Source organism: Homo sapiens, chromosome 2, assembly GCF_000001405.40.
Source record: "Homo sapiens chromosome 2, GRCh38.p14 Primary Assembly".
NCBI classification, from domain to species: Eukaryota; Metazoa; Chordata; class Mammalia; order Primates; family Hominidae; genus Homo; species Homo sapiens.
Genome location: NC_000002.12, coordinates 27,955,731 through 27,977,648, shown reverse-complemented (window position 1 = coordinate 27,977,648; position 21,918 = coordinate 27,955,731). Strand labels below are relative to the sequence as shown.

General features: G+C 36.8%; 1 protein-coding gene across 14 annotated transcripts in view, besides 1 other annotated feature; it reads right to left on the bottom strand.

Moving 5' to 3' along the window:
* Positions 1 to 21,918, bottom strand: part of BABAM2 (BRISC and BRCA1 A complex member 2) — a 450,193-nt gene that overhangs the window by 361,253 nt on the left and 67,022 nt on the right. The gene's annotated exons all lie outside the window — the stretch shown is intronic.
* Positions 17,793 to 18,087: a silencer, noted in NCBI's record as "tiled region #3162; HepG2 Repressive DNase matched - State 8:EnhW, and K562 Repressive DNase unmatched - State 9:DNaseU". NCBI's record gives its function as "represses a minimal TATA promoter and a strong SV40 promoter by Sharpr-MPRA in HepG2 and K562 cells {active_cell/tissue: HepG2 | K562}" and the evidence as "EXISTENCE:reporter gene assay evidence [ECO:0000049][PMID:27701403]".

Here is a 21,918-nt window from a genome sequence, read left to right as displayed (position 1 = left end):
AACAAATACAAAAATCCATGCCTTAATTTATGTATTAAACTTCTATTGATAAATGGCATTGTAAGTTAAAATAGCTTTTTTGGCAGCCTCATCAGTAGTGACTCCTATTATGCTTCTTATTAACTAAAAGCCCTAACATTTTTATGTATTTACCACTGCTAAGCTACATATCCCTCTTCTTAACTGGGACAACTAAATTTTAGAATCCATTTTGAAATTTTAAATTTATCTGTATTATATTTCAGTATCGCTAGATTTACCTATTTAAAGTCCATCATGATATTCTTAGATTCTACTCCAATTTTGGGTTGGCACTCCTAACTTCAAATTATAAACATACTGGCTAGGCATCCTTCTGGAAACCTCCCTTTATGACAATTTATAAACAATAAACAATCTTGGGTGCAATAATTTAAACAATAATGTCTAACCAATAATAATATGAACTTAAACATTCATCACAAGTTTGTCAAGGAACTTGTCAACTGCCTCAGCAATGTAGGCTGTTGTGCCTACAAATGCAAGGATGCCACTAATTATTCCATTGCACAGCATTCTTTTCATCTTGAGTGGTAGAGTTTAATTTCCAATATCAAGGAAAAAGACTCTAAGGAATTACTACATCTGAGAGTTGGCATATTTACATGAATTAGGCTCTCAAACAAAATCTGTAGAACAAAGGATGGAAGTAGGGGGCAGAGGCTAAACTTAGGTCATTTAAATTTGCCTCCTCTTCTTAGAAGACTTCCTTCTGCCATATCCCTCTCCTAGACTTCGGACCACACCTAATCCTTCTTTGCACTTCTAATATCTGAAGCAGTGCTATGTAATAGAAATAATAATGCAAGCCACATACATAATTTTAAACTTACCAGTAGCCACATTCAAACAGTAAAAAGAAAAAAGGTGACATAAAAATTATAAACTATTTTTTAACTTTATACACAGTAAAATTCATCTTTTTCTGTACACCTATAAGAGTTGTATAACATGCAGAGATTTGTGTAAACATCACCAAAATTAGGATACAGAACAATTCTATCACTCTCCAATATGTCTTCATGCTATCCCTGTGTATTTAAATATTCCGACCATTCCTTATTCCTGGAAACCTCTGACCTGCTCTTGGCCCCTTCAGTTTTGCATTTTTCCAGAATGCCATATAAATGGAATCATGCAGTATGTAACCTTTTGAGACCAGCTTCTTCTTTCACTTAGCATAAGGCATTTGAGACTCAAATTGCTGCATGTATCAATAGCTTGCTCCTTTTTTATAGCCTACTAGTATATTCCATTGTACAGATGTACCATAGTTTGTATATCCATCTACCCAATGAAAGACATGTAGGTGATTTCCAGTTTGTGATGATTATGAATGATGCTGCTACAAACATATATGTACATGTTTTGCGTGAATGTACATTTATCATTTCTAGATAAATGTTTAAGACTGGATTGCTAGGTCATATGATGAAGTGTATCTTTAACCATAAAACAAACTGCCAACCTTTTTTCCTGAGTGACTATTACATTTAGCAAACCAACAACGCATGAGAGTTCCAGTTTCTACACATTCGTGCCAACATTTAATATGGTCAATTTTGTTATTATTGTCATTGATTTTAGTCATTCTAACAGGTACATCATGGCATCTCATAATGATTTTAATCTGCATTTTCCTAATGACTAATAAAGTTGAGCATCTTTTCATGTGTTTATTTGCTACCTGTATATATTCCTTGGTGGAGTATCTGTTCAGATCTGTTCCCCATTTTTTTTATTGTTGTTGGTTTTCTTAATGTTGACTTTTGAAAGCTACATATTCTTGAAATTTGTTCTCTGTTAGATACATGATTTGCAAATATTTTCTCTTACTGCTTCTTGTCCTCCTCTTCCTCTTAACAGTCTCTTCAGCAGAGCAAAAGTTTTAAGCTTCAGTGAAATCCAATTTATCAACTTTTTTCTTTTATGGATTATGTTTCTACTGTTGTATCTAACTCAATGCCCAGCCCAAGTCACAAAGCCTTCCTTCTATGGTTACTTCTTGGATTTTTATGGTTTGAAATTTTCCATTTAAGAATGTGATTCACCAATTTTTGAACATGGTTTGAAATATAAGTCAAGGTCCTTTTTTTTGCATGTAGATGTCTACTTGCTGAGAAGACTCCTTTTGCCATTGAAGTGCCTTTGCGTTTTTGTGGAAAATCATTGACCATATTTATATGGATCTATTATTGGACTATTTTGTTCTATTGATCTATGGCTCTTCTTTTGCCAATATCACACTGCCTTGATAATAAGTCTTCAAACTGAGTAGTCTGACTCCTCCATTTTTATTGTTCTTTTCCAAAATTGTTTTGGCTATTTTAATTCTTTGCTTCCCACGTAAATTTTAAAATCATCTTGTCAATATCTACCCAATCCTGCTGGGATTTTGATGGGGATTACACTAAATAGTGTACATTAATTTAGGGAAAATTGACTTAGGAAACTAATTAAAACTAATTAGGGAAAACATCTTAACTATGTTGAGTCTTCCCATCCTTGAATATATTATATATCTCTGTATTTATTGAGGTCTTCTTCAATTCCTTTATCTACATATAGATACTGAACATACCTTATTAGATTTATAACTAAGCATTTTTTTGGCAGGAAGGTATTATAATTGGTACTATTTTTTAACTTTCTGTTTCTGATTGTTCATTGCTAGTATAAAGAAATAGGATTGATTTTCCTATGCTGATCTTACATCCTGTAACCTTAAAAAACTCGTAAGTTCTAGGATTTTTTGAATATGCGTTGGGATTTTCTACATAGACAATCATTATACGCAAATTAGGTAGATTTATCTCTTCCTTTCCAATCCATATGCCTTTTATTTCTTTTTCTTGACTTCCTGCAACTTCCAGTACTATGTTATATAGGATTTGGGAAAGTGAACATCTTTGCCTCATTCTCAGTCTTAGAAGAAAAGCATTCAGTCTTTCACCATGTATGATATTAAGCTGTAGGTTCTGGGTAGATGTCCTTTATAAGTTTGAGGCTGAGGAAATTCCCTTTTATTCCTATTTAGCTAAGAGTATTTATTATGAACAGATTTTAAATTTTAGTTTTTTCTGCATCCATTGATATGATCATACAGTTTATCTTGTATTAGTCTGTTAATATGGAGACTTGCATAGACTGATTTTCAAATGTTGAACTTGGCTTTCATTCCCAGAATAAAACCTGCTTGATTATGATATATTATTTTACTTGTATACATACATAGATAATGTATGTTGTATACATATATATGTATGTATTTTATATATGTTGCTAAATTCAATTTGCTAATTTTTTTCGAAAGTTTTACTTCTTTGTTCAAATGAGGGATACTGGCCTATAGTTTGTTTGTTTGTTTTCTTCTACTTTCTTTGACTGATTTTGATATCAGAAAAATGTCAGCCTCATAAAGTAAGATAGAAACTGTTGTATCCTTTTCAATTTCTGGATGATACTGCATAAAATTGGTGACTTTTTGTCTTAAATGTTTGGTAGAATTCACCCAAGATAATCTGGGTCTGGCATTTCATTTGTGAAAGATTTTTTTTTAACTATAAATTCAATTTATTTAACAGATATAGGATTAATCAGATAATCTATTTCTTTCTGAGTGAATCTTGATAGTTTATCTCTTTCAAGGAATGTGTTCATTTCACTTAATTGCCAAATGAATTGGCATAAAGTTAGGTTCAGAGTGAAAGCACTAAACCATCTTCTGTGGACTTGATTCATCAGAATAGTTTTCAAAGCCTTTAAATGTTACTCTGGTTTTCCCAAAGTACGCACCACCCAGAGGCTAGTCTGGGCACTGTTCTATGCTGTAGCTCAGTTCTCAAAGACTTTGCTATACTGATTCTGTCCGGTTCCATGTGTGAAGCTCAAGGATAAGCCTGAGACTTCACACACAGATTAAAGGATCCTTTTCTCCAGCCCCTCTTCTCTGTGATTTCCCCCGTACTCTGCCTCCCAGTGGCACCTTTTCTTGGTACTCTGGCTTGAAACTGGGAGTTTTTCCCTCCCCATGTTTTTATATACTTTCCATTACTGTGTCAATCTGGAGAAGAAACCCCAAAAGAAAAGAGTCTAAGAGGCTACTGCAAGAGTCCTGTTTCATCACTAGAGCTTGCCTGCCTTAGGGACAGAAGAGTTGGTGGGGAAAAAAAAAAAAAAGATTACATCCTGAAGAGTCCCCCTTTCTATGTCTTTGACCTGGGAGAGGGTTTTCATTGGAGAATTTTCTGTCCTTGCCCAGTGCATAGTGCCAGGGTCCAGGATGTCCTAGGATCCAAACCAGGAGATATGGAAAGAAAAGATAAACAAATTTTTTAAAACACAAGAAAATGACCTCCATATGGGTTAATCTTTGAGTTTTTAATTCTTCTTAGTATGTCTGATAATTACTTTTCAGAGTCCTCAAGCAGTTCCTATATGTATTCTTTAGGTACTATGGTTTTAAATTATAACCAATGAGAGAGATAGGGTGCAGGGTTTACTCATTTTTACCGAGAACTGGTAATTAAAGCTAATAATTACGACCAGGCACGGTGGCTCATGACTGTAATCCTAGCACTTTGGGAGGCCGAGGCGGGCGGATCATCTGAGGTCAGGAGTTCAAAACCAGCCTGGCCAACATGATGAAATCCCATCTCTACTAAAAAATACAAAAATCATCCAGGTGTGGGGGTGCGCGCCTGTAGTCCCAGCTACTCGGAAGGCTGAGACAGGAGAATCACTTGAACCTGGGAGGTGGAGGTTACAGTGAGTCGAGATCGAGCCACTGCACTCCAGCCTGGCGACAGCACAAGACTCCATCAAAAAAAAAAAAAAGCTAATAATTAAAATAATAATAAATTAAAGTTATGTAACCTTTATATTTTATTTAGCCAAGATATACAAAATAACACCATTTCAACATGTCATCAATATAAAAGTTATCAGTGAGATATTTTATATTTTTAAATATAAACTTTAGCATCTGATGTGTATTTCACACTTAACAGCACATCTCAATTCAGACTAGCCACATTTCAAAGACTCCATCACCACATGTGGCTAGCAGCGACTATATTGGACAGCACAGATCTACAGGAAACACTGATTAGGAAAGAAGGAAACAAAGGGAATGAAGGGAAGGTAAGAAAGGTCACTTAATTTTCCATGACTATCTCCATGTAAAATGTCCTCCCTGCCTCATTAGATACCACACTCTGTTCCTTGGCAGTTATTACCCGTTGAAAAAAGTTCTTTCTTATATTGAAACAGAAAATATAGCTACAAATCACTTTTACCCACTAACACTAGTTCTACCCTAAGCATTATTCTACACGATAGTCCCCAAACCATCTGCAGATGACTGTCAGGTCTTCTTTTAATCTTCTCTTCTCCAGGTTAAATATGCCTAGTTCTTTCAGTGGTTAATAATAAGACAATTTTCAGGAAATTAAGCTACGTGATTCTTATGTGTATCAGAGATAATATACATGTTGTTGATTCTTAGAAAATTAGACTAATTCAGAAAGGGGTATTGTCCATCTTCAGATGTAATATGTTTTAAATGAACTTTTAACCTTGTATTTTTGTTATACTTATTTCGGTGCATAAAACAACAATATTTTAAGCCAAATGCTATAAATTAGCATTACTTTATTGAGCAATAAATATTCTACTGCAGAAAATTTTAGTCTTAGTGATCTTCTAATGCATATTCACAAACTGTTTCATTACTGCAATTTGTTATCAACTCTTTAATAACTACAATGCAAGTGACACTATAAAAAAGAAAGTAAGCTTTTTCAACCTTTCTATGATTGTTGTAGTTTTAAAAAGTAGTTCAGAATTAAATATAATTTTAAAACAAATCAGTAATGATCCTTGTCATGAAATAGTAAAACATTGAAAAAAAAAAACACATGGGAAAATTTAGCAAGTAAGCTTGATTTTTACATACCCATATACACATTCACACACCCTTGATTTAGGTGTAGCTCCTAGAACACTATGTATTTACATTTATTTTTCTTTTAATGAAATATCGTAGTGAGATGGATGTTGTAAAGTTGGTTTAAACATACAGAATAAGTAGCTTTGTATTTACTGATAAGAAAAAGAGACATTGCCATTTGGAGGAAACGATGAAAAACCCTGAGATGTGAAGCAATAGGAAAAAAACAGTAATGAATTATTCTATACTTGAACAAGCTTAAGAAAAAGAACATGTGACTGTAAAGATTTTGGTTAAACTGGCAGGATAAATCAAGATGTTTTCTCATTCTCTAAAGATAAAATTTTCATTTATTAATTCATTCAATCCCTCAATAAACATATACATTATGTTAAGTACTATCACTGACAGAAAAAGAGTTAGGAGATTCTGCCCCAATAAAGCTTGTAGTATTGATTCAAGATACTAAAAACACTGGGCAAAATGTTTTTCAGAACAGGATACAGTCCCAAAGTGTCACTTCACAGATCACTAATTCATTATAATTGAGAAAAGGTATCTTTATAATGAGAAAAACTGGTAGACACCAACTTAATTTAAACAAGTGGTCAAGCAGCAGCAACAATGGAAGAAACATATCATGGGCCTTGTGGTAACTGCACTGAGAAGTATATAACATCACTTATTTTAAAAGCTTGACAAATATGTTTAAACTGAATACAGCCATGAAGAGAAAATCAGATAAACCAAACTGTGGGATATGTTACAAAACAACAGCCCCAGACTCTTCAAAATCATTAATCATTAATGTCATGAATAACCAAAAACAAAAAGAAAAGGGTAAGAGAATTGTTCTAGATTAAAGAAAAAAATTTAAAACATTTTTTAAGTGTGACCAGTAAACATAATGAATGATCTTTCACTGGATCACAGATCTGGGGAAAAAAAAGCTAAAAGGATATTAATGGACAACTGGGTATATATAAATATGGACCACACATAAGATGCTACTGTAACCATGTTACATTTCTTGAGTACGATCATGGCATTGAGATTCTATAGGAGAAAAATGTTCTTTTCTTGGGAGATATGTAGTGAAGTACTTAGGGGTGAAGTATGAAAATATTTGCAACTTACTTTAAAATGACTCAAAGATTTAGAGATAGATACTGTAAACTATATATCTATATCAGCATACACATATACATGTGAGTAGAGAGAGACTTCTAAAACATGGCAAAATGTTAACAACTGATAGATTAAATAAAGGGTTGACAGATGCTCATAGTACAATTTGTTCCAATTTTTAAAAGGCAGATGTTATCCTTTAAAATAACAATTTGAGAGAAAAATATAACACAAAGTAAAAATGTATTAGCATCACAAGAAATGAACAAATAACACACCATGCAAATTCTGAAAATACAGGAATTAGTCAGGATCTAACAGATGACTTCATTGAAGAAGTGGCACTGGGACTGGGAATTAGACAATAAAACTCTAAAAAAGTTAAAAATACATTAATATATTCCTTTATAAAAAGTGAAAAAATATAGCATATAGACTATATACCAAAAAAATTAAAGAATAAAAAGGATTTGGAAATGAGGATACAAAGGGAACATCATGAGCAAAAGCAGAGTAGCAAGAAACTCAGGGTGTACCTGAGAAGTGTAGCAGATGCCATGGTGACCCACCATACTCCCTTCGTCCTCCCACCCAGAGGTCACCTGCAGCTCTGAATTCCTGTAAAACAGAGTTTCTAAGCCATGGGACTACTGACATTTGGGGATGGATAACTCTTTGCTGTAGGGGGCAACCATATCAACTGCGGTATATTAAGCAGCATCCCTGGTCTCTACCCACTAGATGCCAGCCAGTAGCACTTTTTCCCTCCCCCAGTTGTCACTACCAAAAATGTCCACAGAATTTACCAAATGCTCCTTGCAGAGCAAAATAACCTCCTCCCCCGTCCCGAGCCCCAACCTCAGTTTGAGAAAGAACCACTGCCAGAAATCGTGGCCATCCAGCTCCAGTAACTGCATCTGTCTGCATAAGGGCATTACCTGGCCTAGAAGGTAGCTTGGCCAGTATATAAAAAGGCTGGACTACTTGGAAGTGAATGACACTAAGAATGAAGGATGAGGGTGGATGTGTAAACAACTTCCTTGCCCTTCCCTGGCACAATACTGAAGTGACTTTCACATAGCTGGGGGGTTGTGAGTGAAATTTAACCCCACTTAACAACAGCAATAACCTACTCTTCAATGCACCCTATTTTGGCTTTTCTCCCTCTCTTTCTCTTCCCCACCCCCTCACTGTGCTTCCAGAGATCACCTCCTATATTAGTCCGTTTTCATGCTGCTGATAAAGACATACCCAAGATTGGGCAATATACAAAGCAAAGAGGTTTAATGGAGAACTCACAGTTTCATGTGGCTGGGGAAGCCTCACAATCATGGCAGAAGGCAAGGAGAAGCAAGTCACATCTTACATGGATGGCAGCAGGCAAACAGAGAGCTTGTGCAGGGAAACTCCCCCTTATAGAACCATCAGATCTCATGAGACTTACTCACTATCACGAGAACAGCATGGGAAAGATCTACCCCCACAATTCAATTACCTCCCACTGTGTACCTCCCACAACATGTGGGAATTCAAGATGAGATTTGGGTGGGAACACAGACAAGCCATATCATTCCACCCCTGACCCCTCCCAAATCTCATGTCCTCACATTTCAAAACCAGTCATGCCTTCCCAACAGTTCCCCAAAGGTTTAACTCATTTTGGCATCCAAAGTCTCATGTGATACAAGGCAAGTCCCTTCTACCTATGAGCCTATAAAATCAAAAGCAAGTTAGTTACTTCCTAGATAAAATGAGGGTACAGGCATTGGGTAAATACACCCAGGTCATGCTGATGCAAGAGGTGGATTCCCATGGTCTTGGACAGCTCCACCCCTGTGGCTTTGCAGGGTACAGCCGTCCTCCCAGCTGCCTTCACGGGCTGGTGTTGAATGTCTGTGGCTTTTCTAGGCACATGGTGCAAGCTGTCAGTGGATCTACCATTCTGGGGTCTGGAGGATGGTAGCCCTCTTCTCACAGCTCCACTAGGCGGTGCCCCAGTAGGAACTCTGTGTGGGGGCTCCAACCCCACATTTCCCTTCTGCACTGCCCTAGCAGAGGTTCTCCATGAGGGCCCCACTCCTGCAGGAAACTTCTGCCTGGGCATCCAGGCATTTCCATACAACTTCTGAAATCTAGACAGAGGTTCCCAAACCCCAATTCTTGACTTCTGTGCACTCGCAGGCTCAACACCACATGGAAGCTGCCAAGGCTCGGGGCTTGCACCCTCTGAAGCCATGGCCCAAGCTCTACATTGTTCCCTTTCAGCCACAGCTGAAGCAACTGGGGCGCAGGGCACCAAGTCCCTAGGCTGCACACAGCACAGGGACCCTGGGCCCAGCCCATGAGACCACATTTTACCCCTAGGCCTCTGGGCCTGTAATGGGAGGGGCTGCTGTAAAGACCTCTGACCTGCCCTGGAGACATTTTCCCTACTGTCTTGAGGATCAACATTCGGCTCCTCATTACTTATGTAAATTTCTGCAGCCAGCTTGAATTTTCTCTTCAGAATATGGGATTTTTTTCTATCACATTGTCAGGCTGCAAATTTTCCAAACTTTTATGCTCTGCTTCCCTTATAAAACTGAATGCTTTCAACAGCACCCAAGTCACCTTTTGAATGCTTTGCTGCTTAGAAATTTCTTCCGCTGGAAACCTAAATCATCTCTCTCAAGTTCAAATTTCCACTAAGCTCAAGGGCAGGGGCAAAATGCCGCCAATCTCTTTGCTAAAACATAACAAGAGTCACCTTTGCTCCAGTTCCCAATGAGTTCCTCATCTCCATCTGAAACCACCTCAGCTTGGCTTTTATTGTCCATATCATTATGAGCATTTTGGTCAAAGCCATTCAACAAGTCTCTAGGAAGTTCCAAAGCGTCCCACATTTTCCTGTCTTCTGAGCACTCCAAACTGTTCCAATCTCTGCCTGTTACCCAGTTCCAAAGTCACTTCCACATTTTCAAGTATCTTTTCAGCAGCACCCCACTCTACTGGTACCAATTTACTGTATTAGTCCATTTTCAGGCTGCTGATAAAGACATACCTGAGACCAGGCAATTTACAAAGGAAAGAGGTTTGAAGGAGAACTCACAGTGACATGTGGCTGGGGAAGCCTCACACAATCGTGGCAGAAGGCAAGGCGGAGCAAGTCACATCTTACAATGGATAGCAGCAGGAAAAGAGAGAGCTTGTGCAGGGAAATTCCCCCTTATAGAACCATCAGATCTCATGAGACTTATTCAGCATCACGAGAACAGCATGGCAAAGACATACCCCCATGATTCAATTACCTCCCACAAGTCCTTCCCACAACACATGGGAATTCAAGATGAGATCTGGGGTGGGGACACAGCCAAACCGTATCATCTTCCAGTGAAGTATATGTACTCAAATTTTTGTCTCAGGGTCTTCTGTTTCAGGAACCAAACAAAGGCAGGAAGCTTGGCTGTTCAATGAAGAAATATATGTTTCTCCTGGAGAAATGAAATTTTTGATATCTATTCATGACCCTATGTGATTTTATAAAATCATATCTCTGACAGTTCTGCCTGTTAAATGACAACCCCACAAGAAGAGAGCACTTAGTCTGGGCCACTAAAGATCAATGCCATAAGATAAGGCTTTGGTATTTCTATTTCTATCCTACAACTAGTAAAGGAAGGCAGCAGGTCTGTGCCCAAAAGGCAAATAAAGGAACAAAACAAACAAACAAAGCTACTTAATATAGAGGAGAATGGTTCAAGCTATTAAAGCTGCTTGATGTACCAAATTAATCAAACAAAAAGCATAGCCTGAGCCCTGGGAGAGTCTGGTTTGGCAACTCACTACGGCCAGCCAGACATTTTCGCAGAGTACAGCAATTTCTCACAAGAGTTACAGCTGATGAGGGGTGAGGGGACAAAGACTGAAAAGACTGGCCTGAGGCCCAGAGTTTAAAAAGTACAAGATGAGCCTGAAACATCTGGTCATGCCAGAAAGCAAGAAACTATCAAAGGCTTTGGGGGTCAGATCAACAAGACCTGAAGAGCCATCATGCAGAGGCTCCTGGTCAAAGACGAATGAATTTAAGCATCAGTAACAATAACTGTAATGAATTAAAACACACCACATTATTTTAAACCCAGGAGTTAATGATATATTAACAAATCAAGTTGTCTTCAGAAGATGTGAAAGATCTACACATTATTTTGAAAACTGGAAAATAAAGAAAAAGAAAGAATTTATCCTATCCTTCCTAAAGGAACCTGTACTCAGGATTACCAAATAGTTGATCAGGAAAAACTCTTTACACAAGTATTCCAACTAATAAATGAAGAAGAAATGACAGAATATCACCATTTTGCAACACTTAACAAATTAACGGATCTAAGCAAAGACGACTGAAGGTTGCCATATTATATGCCTCTAATGAAAGAATATGTTACCTGTGAGATAGTCTTTGCCAGAAACCAAAACCAAAACAAAACAAAACCTGAACCTGAGTAAGCCTCTACATCAAACTACCACATCAAATGACACCACAGAAATGAAATCATCAAAATCAAACTGTGGAAAACTAGAGAACAAATGGCCCAGCTTCTTTACAAATAAATATAAAACAAAGAAGAAAAAGAAGACAGAAAAAAATAATGAAGAGAAGGCAAAGAAATGAGAACCAAGAGAAGAAGAATATGAAGAAAACAAGGAGGAGGAAAAGGAGAAAAAGACAAAGAAAAAAAGGAGGAATAAGGGAACAAGATAACTGCAAATAAGAGAGCTAAATGACATATCAACCTATTGCAATGTGCACACAATCAGTATCCACACAACTGTAAAGCACACACACATTTTACATATGTATGTTTGTATATGTATGTACATATGTATACGTGTGTGTATATATATAGCAACCAAAAAAATTGAATAATGACTAGTAATAAAAGATTTAAGGATTAGCATTGATTTTTTTTAAAGTGTGTCAATGATATTAAAGTTGTTTACAAAGAGAGTCCATAGCTTATAAAGACACATACTGAATACTTATGGATGACACGATATGACGCTCGGAATTTGCTTCAAAATTATTTGGGAAAAAGCTGATGGAGGACATATGAAATAGAATTGACCATGAGTTGATAGCTGTGAAACTGTGTGATAGGTACATAAGAGTTCATTATACCATTCTCTTTACATTTCTAAGTGTTTGAAATTTTCCATTTCAAAAATATTTTTAAGTGATTTTCTCCAAGACTCCACATATTGCCACCAAGATTTGATTTCACACGGTAAACCAATATAATTTACGTTGAAATAATTTTCATTCAGCATACTTACAGAGTTGGAAAAAACCTTATAATGAAGGCAGCCAGAAATTTTATCACCAAAAATGGGACACCCAGAGTGGGAAAAAAGGGCATTATTAATAATTAACCAGGACAACAGACATAGAGAGGGATATGGTTAATTGCCCTCCATATCTTATTCAGCTCAGTTTCTGACATAGTTGAACTCACAATTATCCCTTAAAACATACCCCATCTCCAATAAGGCAGTTATACTATGTCTATTTCAATTTCTCCTGTAACAAAAACCTCATTATTTCCCAAAGCAGTTCCTTATATTAGAGGACAACATCAATTATTAAAAACTCTCTGCAGAGTGAAAATCTGTTTCCTAATAACTTCTACTTGGTAGCATTGGTTTTATTTTCTAGAAGAACAGAATGTGATGAGTAGAAAGAATCCAGAACTGAGAACAGAGAATTGGATCTGCTAAGAACCAATAAAATCATCTTGGACAATTTATAAAACCTAAAACCTATCTAAGCCTCCATTTCCACCTCTTTCTATCTTTAAAAACCAGCACTCTTAGCTTCTTCAAGCAGTGTGTAATGTGTCATGATTTCTGTCGAACACACCCTAATGTTGTTCCTACACTGTGCTGCCCAAAAGTCAATACAACACTCATGTATGGCCTACCATATTACAGGCACAGCACAACAACCTCATTCCACACTGTAGACCCAAAGTTTTGCTAATCCAGCACAAGACTGGGTTAGCTTTTGCAGTAATTGCACTACATTATTGGTTCATACTATACATCGCAGATAATTTTTTCATGTAACTGCTTTCCTCTACTTATACAACTAATTTTGGAAACCTAAATAATGGATGTCTTCATCTGTTTTGTGTTACTATCACAGAATACCTGAGACTGGGGAATTTATATAAAGAAAAAGGTTTATTTAGTGCACAGTTCCACAGGCTGGGAAGTTCAAGTTTGAGCGGTCAAGTGTGGTAGCTTCTAGTGAGGGCCTCATGCTGCATCGAAACATGGCAGAGAAATGGAAGGGAAAGCAGGTACATGAGAAGGGAAAAGGGCAACACATGAGAGGTTCATTTTATAACAACCCACTCTCTTGGGAACTAATCCATTCTCATGAGAACTAATCTGGTATCAAGAGACATACACTAATCCATCCATCTTCATGATCTGATCACCTCTTAAAGGTACCACCTCTCAACAGCACTACATTGAAGACAAAGCCTCAATATGGCAAACCATATTCAAACCATAGCAATGGACTTTACTCTTATTACATCCTGCTGCTTCCAAACCAACGTACTAACCTACTGGGATAGAATGAAATTTTGTCATATGTCACAGTAGCTGTCTCTTTAAACTTGAGTCCTCCACAAGTTGAACAAGTATGTTATATCACTCAGAAAAATGTTGAATAAAACAGAGTCAAAAATACAACCCTAGAGTATTTCATCTGAGATTTTCCAATGATTGTTCCATTTACTGCAAATCTACTTAACTATATTTTGGTATAATAACATATGAAACATCTAGAAAGACATCAGAGGGAAATTGTTAAATTTTCTGCTGAAATGATTTGCTATGTCAGCTGATCTACCATTAAAAAACCGTTAAGACTAGTTTGGTATAACTTGCTTCTATGTAAATCCATGTTGGCTACTAAAGATATAACAGGTTTTAAATGCTCTCAGACAATTTACTGAATCCTTTAAGAATATATCCTTCCTTCTTTTCTTTTTCTTTTTTTTTTTTTTTTTTTTTTTTGAGAAAGAGTCTTTCTCTGTCACCCAGGCTGGAATGCAGTGGTGCAATCTCAGCTCACCGCAACCTCTGCCTCCCAGGTTCAAGCAATTCTCCTCCCTCAGCCTCTGGAGTAGCTGGGATTACAAGCATGCGCCAACAAGCCCAGGTAATTTCTGTATTTTTAGTAGACACGGGGTTTTGCCATGTTGGCCAGGCTGGTCTCGAACTCCTGACTTCAGGTGATCCACCCGCTTCAGCCTCCCAAAGTGCTGGGATTGCAGGCGTGAGCCACCTTGCCTGGCCTCTCCTTCTTTTCTTTAAATATTGGGACAACGATTTCCTTCATCTATAGTCTGCTGCCATTATCCACAATTTCTTCAACCAGATGATTACTGTGGTAATTCTAGTAATTCCACTTGTCAAAAAGATCAACACTATAAAAGGAATTTTGGTATGGTTAATTAGTTCAAATAAGAATTCTGCTGAGAGCTCCTTTCAGTACCATAAAACTGTCAATGCAAATAAGAAAATAAAGTTGTTTTGTTCCTACGACAAAAATATTTTTTGAATGAGCACTGTAATGTTGTCTCGTGGATAATATTCTTTTTAATGATAGTAGCTACATATGCATTTACCAAGAACACTACTAAAGCAATTGCTACAATAGGTAGTAAATTAGATGACATCAAATGGTCTTTAGCTCTAAAAACATATGCAGTTCTTTCAGTTCAGTTAATTATTAAGATGACATAAATTCTGACAAACCCATGTTTCTTAAGAGGTACTATAGCAAAATAGTAGCTTGAAGAGCTAATATTCTATTTTAATTAAATTTGCTTTTGACCATATCAAATTTCTTTCTGATCCCTTCTGTTTCATAAAATAAAACTGGGTACTTATTTAAATCAAAAGCTACAGTTAAAATCTTTTGATAACTTCATTTCTAAATACATTTTAAGTACATTTGAAAATGAAAACCCAATTTTTTCACTCACAAATGCTCAAAGAGTTTAGCTATACGTATCTGGTCCACTTTATTATCTTGACCTTTAAGTTTCCTTCCCTCATATTTCCCACATTAAAGAAAAACCACCAGGCACAGTGGCTCACACCTGTAATCCCACCACTTTGGGAGGCCAGGAGGATCCCTTGAAGCTAGGAGTTAGAGACCACCCTAGGCAATAAAGCAATGCCCTGTCTCCATAAAAAATTAAAACATTAGCCAGATGCAGTGGCTTACACCAGTAATCCCAGAAACTTGAGAGGCTGAAGCCGGAGGATTGCTTTAACCCAGGAGTTTGAGGCTGCAGCAAGCTATGATTCAGTACATTCCAGCCTGGGTGACACAGAGTGAGATCTCATTTCTTAAAAAAAAGAAACAAACAAAAATTTCCAAATGATTTTAGAAAGTAGTTCAAAACTGTTGTTTAACTTATGAATCAAAAAGATATAATTAAGGGGGGCCAGGCATGGTAGCACACGCCTGTAATCTCACTATTTTGGGAGGCTGAGGCAGGATAATCATTTGAGCCCAGGAGTTTGCGATCAGCCTGGACAACATAGTGAGACCCCATCTCTACAAAAAAAATTTAAAAATTAGCCAGATGCGGGGGTGCATGCCTGTAGTCCCAGCTACTCAGGAGGCTGAGATGGGAGGATCACTTGAGCCTAGGAGGTCAAGGTTACGGTGAGCTATGATTGCACCACTGCACTCCAGCCTGGGTGACAGAGTGAGACCCTCTCTCTCAAAAAAAAAAAAAAAAAAAAAGATAATTAAGGGAATTAGAGATGTATTAGGCCAGGTAATAGAAGTGAATCACAAATCCATATTACTGGGTCAAGGCATAGAAGATACAATCACATGCTAACTACAGATACTCCTCAACTTACAATGGGGTTACCTCCCAGTAAGCCCATCATAAGCTGAAAATATTGTTAAGTAAAAAATGCATTTAATAACCTACTGAACATCATAGCTTAACCTAGCCTACCTTAAATGTGCTCAGAACACTTACATTAGCTTATAGGTAGGCAAAATCATCTAACACAAAGTCTATTTTATAATAAAGTGTTGACTATCTCATGTAATTGATTGACTACTATACTGGAAGTGAAAAGCAGAATGGTTGCATGGGTACTCAAAGCATAGTTTCTACTGAATGTGTATCACTTTCGCACCACCGCAAAGGGAAAAAATCCTAAGTTGAACCATTGTAAGTTTGAGGATCGGACCGTCTGTTGTCTTAAAAACACATATAGCAAAATAAAGCACTTAGGACTATTCTCTACATCTCAAAGCTGAAACTGAGCCTTTGTCTCACATAAGCCTGATTAACTTCTCACCCTGTCTTCACCAATTTCTGCAGGTGATTTCTGTCCTCAGAAACAAAAAAAAAATAACCAACCACAAGTTGTTACTCCTAAAGTGTCTAAGAGATGGCCACACAATAATGGAAGTTTTTCAGTTTACTTCCCAATGCCAACTGACCACCACCTTCCCCAGCTGATGTATGGCAGAAGGCATTAGCATCTGATAGTGTGTTTGCTTCCTATTCAGCAAAGCCATTGCTTATCCTTATTTCTCATCATAAGCAGTTGATTTGCTCTTATCTACTAATACTGAGAAGCAGGTTATTATTGTATGATAATAAAGATGATATTTATTTCCTAACATGTGAAGTGGAAAAAGCATTGGGCTTGGGACTCAGAAGTCCTGGACTTGAGTTCCAGGTCCCTGATCTCCCAGTTATTTGACCTCAGGCTAGTCACTTAGGCTCTGTGGTCCTGTCTTATATGTAAAGCAAGACAGCCAGCCCTCAGAAAGTTGTTGGAAGATTAAAATGAGATCATTTTAAGTAAAACTACTTTGGAAAATACGAAATGTTATATGACTGTAAATATTTCTTTCTAATTCCTAGCTGAGCTACGCAAAGTAGAAACTTAAGGCTGATGTGGCACAGCTCGACACAGACAAGCAACACTTGCCAAAAAATCAGTAGAAATAACCACAGAATGCTAGCTGGGGAGAAAAAAAAAACCACACCAATCTTTCTTTGAATTCTGAGTTCATTGTTTAACAATGAGTCTTTTGCTGACTGCACACACAGGCACAAACCAGAGCACTAGCAGCAGAATCAAACTTGCACACAAAGGGCAATCTTGGACTATGCCTTATACTTTAGCTCCCACAAAATAGTGCTTGGAAGTCTGTGCAAAACTCCACCCGCCTTCACAAACTTTGTGAAAATCAAGTTTATTAGCCTGTGGAATTCATGAAAAAAACTGAATACTTTCTACTGTCAAATAACTCTGAAATGCCCAGTAACTGGATAAGAAAGATGTAAAAAAAATGGTATGAAGGATCCTTTGAGTTCACACACGACAGATCTAAACAATAAGTCTAACAATGAACAAAAGCAAGTCCAGTAATCCACAGAAGATGAAGTGGGGAAAAAAATCTATTGAAATGAATGAAAAATTAAGATGCTGAAAAATTAGGATGAAGCAATCAGAATTCTTCAAAAGTAGACATAAAAAATGCTTTTCAGAAGCAATGAATGAAAAGACTAAAAAATAAAAATAAAACTATGACCAGAGTAAAAACGGTTAAAGACACACAAGCTCTAGCCAACATTCACTGAAAGTACGAAAAAAAAAAATCAAGCAAAAGAAAATGAGCAGTTTTTCAAAAGCAATAGCATCAAAATGGCAATTTTTTCTGATAGTTTAAATGTAAGTTGATGATAACAAAGGACAAAGACAGTTGTGCCTCTGCCAGGAAAATTACGCAAGTCAGACAGAAGGAAATCAAGCAGTGTCTGTGACAGCGAGTTATCTACATGTATTGCAGTTTTCAGGGAAGAAGTAGAGAAAGAAGCAAACACAAGTCACAACATCTCAGAAGTGCCAAGGTCACTCCAACACAGCAGGAAAAAAAAAAACAGAACATTAAGAAATATTGAAATAGAAGCATGTGACAGAGATTAAAAGTGAAATATATTAGACTCCTGATAACCTAGGAGCAAATTCTATCTTCTGACTAGACTACATAAAGATTGGATATATCACAGTTATCCTGTCATGAAACTACTGTTCTTTTATCCAGTAATAGTATTTTAATGAGGCTCTCCAGCATCTCTCTTCATGAAACATTAATTAAAAGATTCCAACAATTAATTAGGTATCTTATGTCACTAAATGGAAAACTGTCTGTCTAAAACTTGCAGGATTCCTAGGCTCTTAGGACCATATTTAAACAAGGAGCATGTAATCCTTCACAGAAACAATACATTGACTCGCATGTGGTTGGTGACCAGATTGCTGGATGCTACAGAAAACAATTCTTACTTTTATAGAAGCAACTCTGCCACTCAATTAGCAACTCATGCTGAGTCCTCAATTTGGACAAAAGCTCTCTAAAGCTTCATAGTTAGAACTGGAGATTTGTTGCCTTCTTCTCTCAAGAAAGCACTTAAAATCTAAGTACCCACTCTAAAGGTGGTGTCCTTCCATTTCACAAAACTACAAGTGGCTTTGGGTTATTCAAATTCCTCAAGTTATCTTGAGATTCAGAACTCACGAACACAGAGCCACATTGAGCCCAAGGCACTCCTCTGGAAAAAACCATCTCTCCTTCTTCTGCAGGGCTCAAAGTACTTCACACTGATAGTGTATACTGTGTGCAAATTCTCCCAAGGAAGGCAGACCACTCACACTTAATGACAAAATGCCAAGCCTCTGTCTGTCTTTCCTCACAAGAGTATTTGTTAGGCAAGAAGCTAAAGGTCAGTCATCTATACCATCTTCAATACTTTCCACCAAGCAGCCAGGCCTTTGTAGACCTTCTACCTCTTGGCAGGTGAGCTCTACTTCAACTTCATAAAAAATAAAAATTAAAAAAAAACTAAATATACATATATACATATATATGTGTGTGTATATATAAACATATATAAGTTTATGCATATATGTATATGTATATATGTTATATATATACATTTATAAACATTTATATGTATATATATAAAATATATAAAGCAGCCAGTGGAATTCTTGAAAAAACTAAATGCTGTTTACTGTCATCAGTTGTGAATTCCTCACCCTTTCTCCTCAATATTCACCCATTTCTTTCCTAATCCTTTTGTCTTTTCCTTCTCCCTCTGGAGACTTAACCTCTATATCTCTGCTCTTCTCCCCATCTCTTCCACCCTCCTACAGGCTCTTGTCCACTCCTATTCTTCAGGGTCTACATTCCAATTACTACTGCCACCTACAAAACTACCCCAAACTCAGTGCTTAAAACAACCATTTTCTTATGCTCATAGATTCTGTGGGTTAGAAATATAGGCAGAATGTAGTTGGGTGATTCTTCTGCTCCTCACAGCATTGACTGAGATCACTCAATGGTGTTCAGCTGGTAGTGCTCAGTTTGAAAGGCCGAACACAATTTCACTGACATTTCTGATGCCTGGGCTGGGAAACCTCCAAGATAAAAACTGACAACTGCAGCACCTACATGTGGCCTCTTCATGTAGTTTGGCTACCTGACAGCATGGCAACCTCAATATAGACAGACTTCTTATGCAGTGGTGCAGGGCTCCAAGCAAAAGTATTCCTGCTAGAGTAAGATGAAAGCCTCATTGCCTTTTATGACCCAGCCTTGAAAGTCATACGGCATAATAAGCATCATATTCTGTTGGCCAAAATAATCACAAGCCCACCCAGATTCAAGAGGAGGAAAATTATACCTGGAGGAGTGGTAAGGTCATGGTATAGAAGAGCATGTGGAATGGGAAATGCTGTTGTGGCCATCTTTGGAAAACACAGTCTGCTACAGTCTCTTACTTAACTTACTACTTCCTTTTCATCTAAAATCATGCTCTACCGAATTCTTTTTTAAAATGTCTACTCTTAGTGCTGTCTAGAGTAGGCTTAGATAAAGAAATAATGAGATGGTAATTCTAGGCAGAGATAAAAGAAGCAAAACTTAGAGGGTAGAAAGCAAATTATGTGCTCAAGGAATGTTGAAGAATAGCAGATAGTGTTGAAAAGTGAGCTTAAGGACAGGCTATCAAGGCAATCTGGTTTAGTAGAAAATGGGGTAAAGAGAATGCTGGAAAGATTATGATGGTGCCAAAAAAAATGGAGGCCATCAAATACTGTACTTCAAAATTTGGACTGAGTAGGTCCTCAATAGTAACTGGTGCATAGATGAATGAATTAAAGTACTTTGAAAATTGTGGATCCTTTTCTTTCTACAGGAGATTGTCATCCCTGCAATTGCCTGGCACTTGTTTTACCCAAGTGTAGTGAGATAATGTTGCAGAAAACAGAAAAAGGAGAAACAGGAAGACAATAACCAACATTTTTTTAGCCAGAGAAGAAACAGTTTTGCAATTTGCTCTACACTGGGATGACCAAAGCGTCTGATTTCAACATTAAGTAGCATTCATTCCTTAGTCATGATATACTTTAGGCATACTGTCGAGCAACACATCTTGTGTCTAAATAATCATTTCATGATTTGCTTATCAGATTCATCCCAAGGACAGAATCAAAAGCTCTGCTAAAATTGGGATAAATTAAATTTATCTTTTGCTTCCAATGTACTATACTCATCATTCTGTAATAAGAATTGATCTATTAAGAATTGTTTTTTACAAAGCAAAATTGGTTAGTCCTATACTAGTCCAAATGTTGGCAAACTACTTTTGTGATTCTTTTTCTGAGTTCTTTCTAAATATGTATGTCAACCTGCTCTATATAACCTTCATAATTATCTTTTACTTTCTTTAATGCAGAAACTATGCTGCTGCTTTTCAAATCTTTAGATACTTCCTTATCCCACTGGAAGATTCCCAAAATTACCTAGTGTCCTTCCAATTAAGAATTTCCACATAAGACATCATCTTTTAGTGCCTTTGTATCACTCATTTAATAAACATTTCCTGATTGTCTACTGTGTGGGTCATCGGCAACAGATCTTGGAAATCACAGAGGATTCTTGCTCCTAGAATTTAACAATATATTATTTTAGAGACTAAAGATTTGGTTTGATAGAAATAATCTGGACATCAAATTCTTTCATATCTCAAATCCAAAAATTTCTTCCTTCATGCCATCCTTAGCGCACTATCAGGATTTGGGGTGTTTCTATGATGTTATTGCTTGATACCCATAAATCTGACATAAATTTGGCCTTCAAAAAGTTTACTATTTTTCTATAAAGCAGCACAACTTATCTTTCCTTTCCCTTCATTTATGTTAGGAACCAGAACATAAAAGAAACCAAGAGCTACATTAATAATCTTGTTTAACTCTACAGAAGATATGGTTTTCGTAAAGATGAAAAGAAGACAACTCAGAAGTATAAAAGATCTGTGCCATCATAGATTATTAAGAATACCATTTAAAATAATTCATGCATGAGGTTGTATCCTCTTTATAAACAGGTTCCTCTCTTAGGTGAACTGGGGTAAAGGTAATCACCATTCTACAGGAAAAAAAAAACATGTTGCCAAAATGTGACCTGTGAGTCATAAGAAAGGAGGAAAATTGCTCATTTTTCTAAATCTCACAACATAGGTCACCCATTATGGAATGAGAAATCAGAAACACTAAAACGATACTTTTATTTTAACATTAAATAGTCCAAAAAAAGTGCTTTAACTATCTCTGTTCGTATAGTTTGAAAATCCAGTGCAAATATTCAAGTCATACCCAAGGTAAATAGTCTTACCCAATGCTGATATTAGGAATAG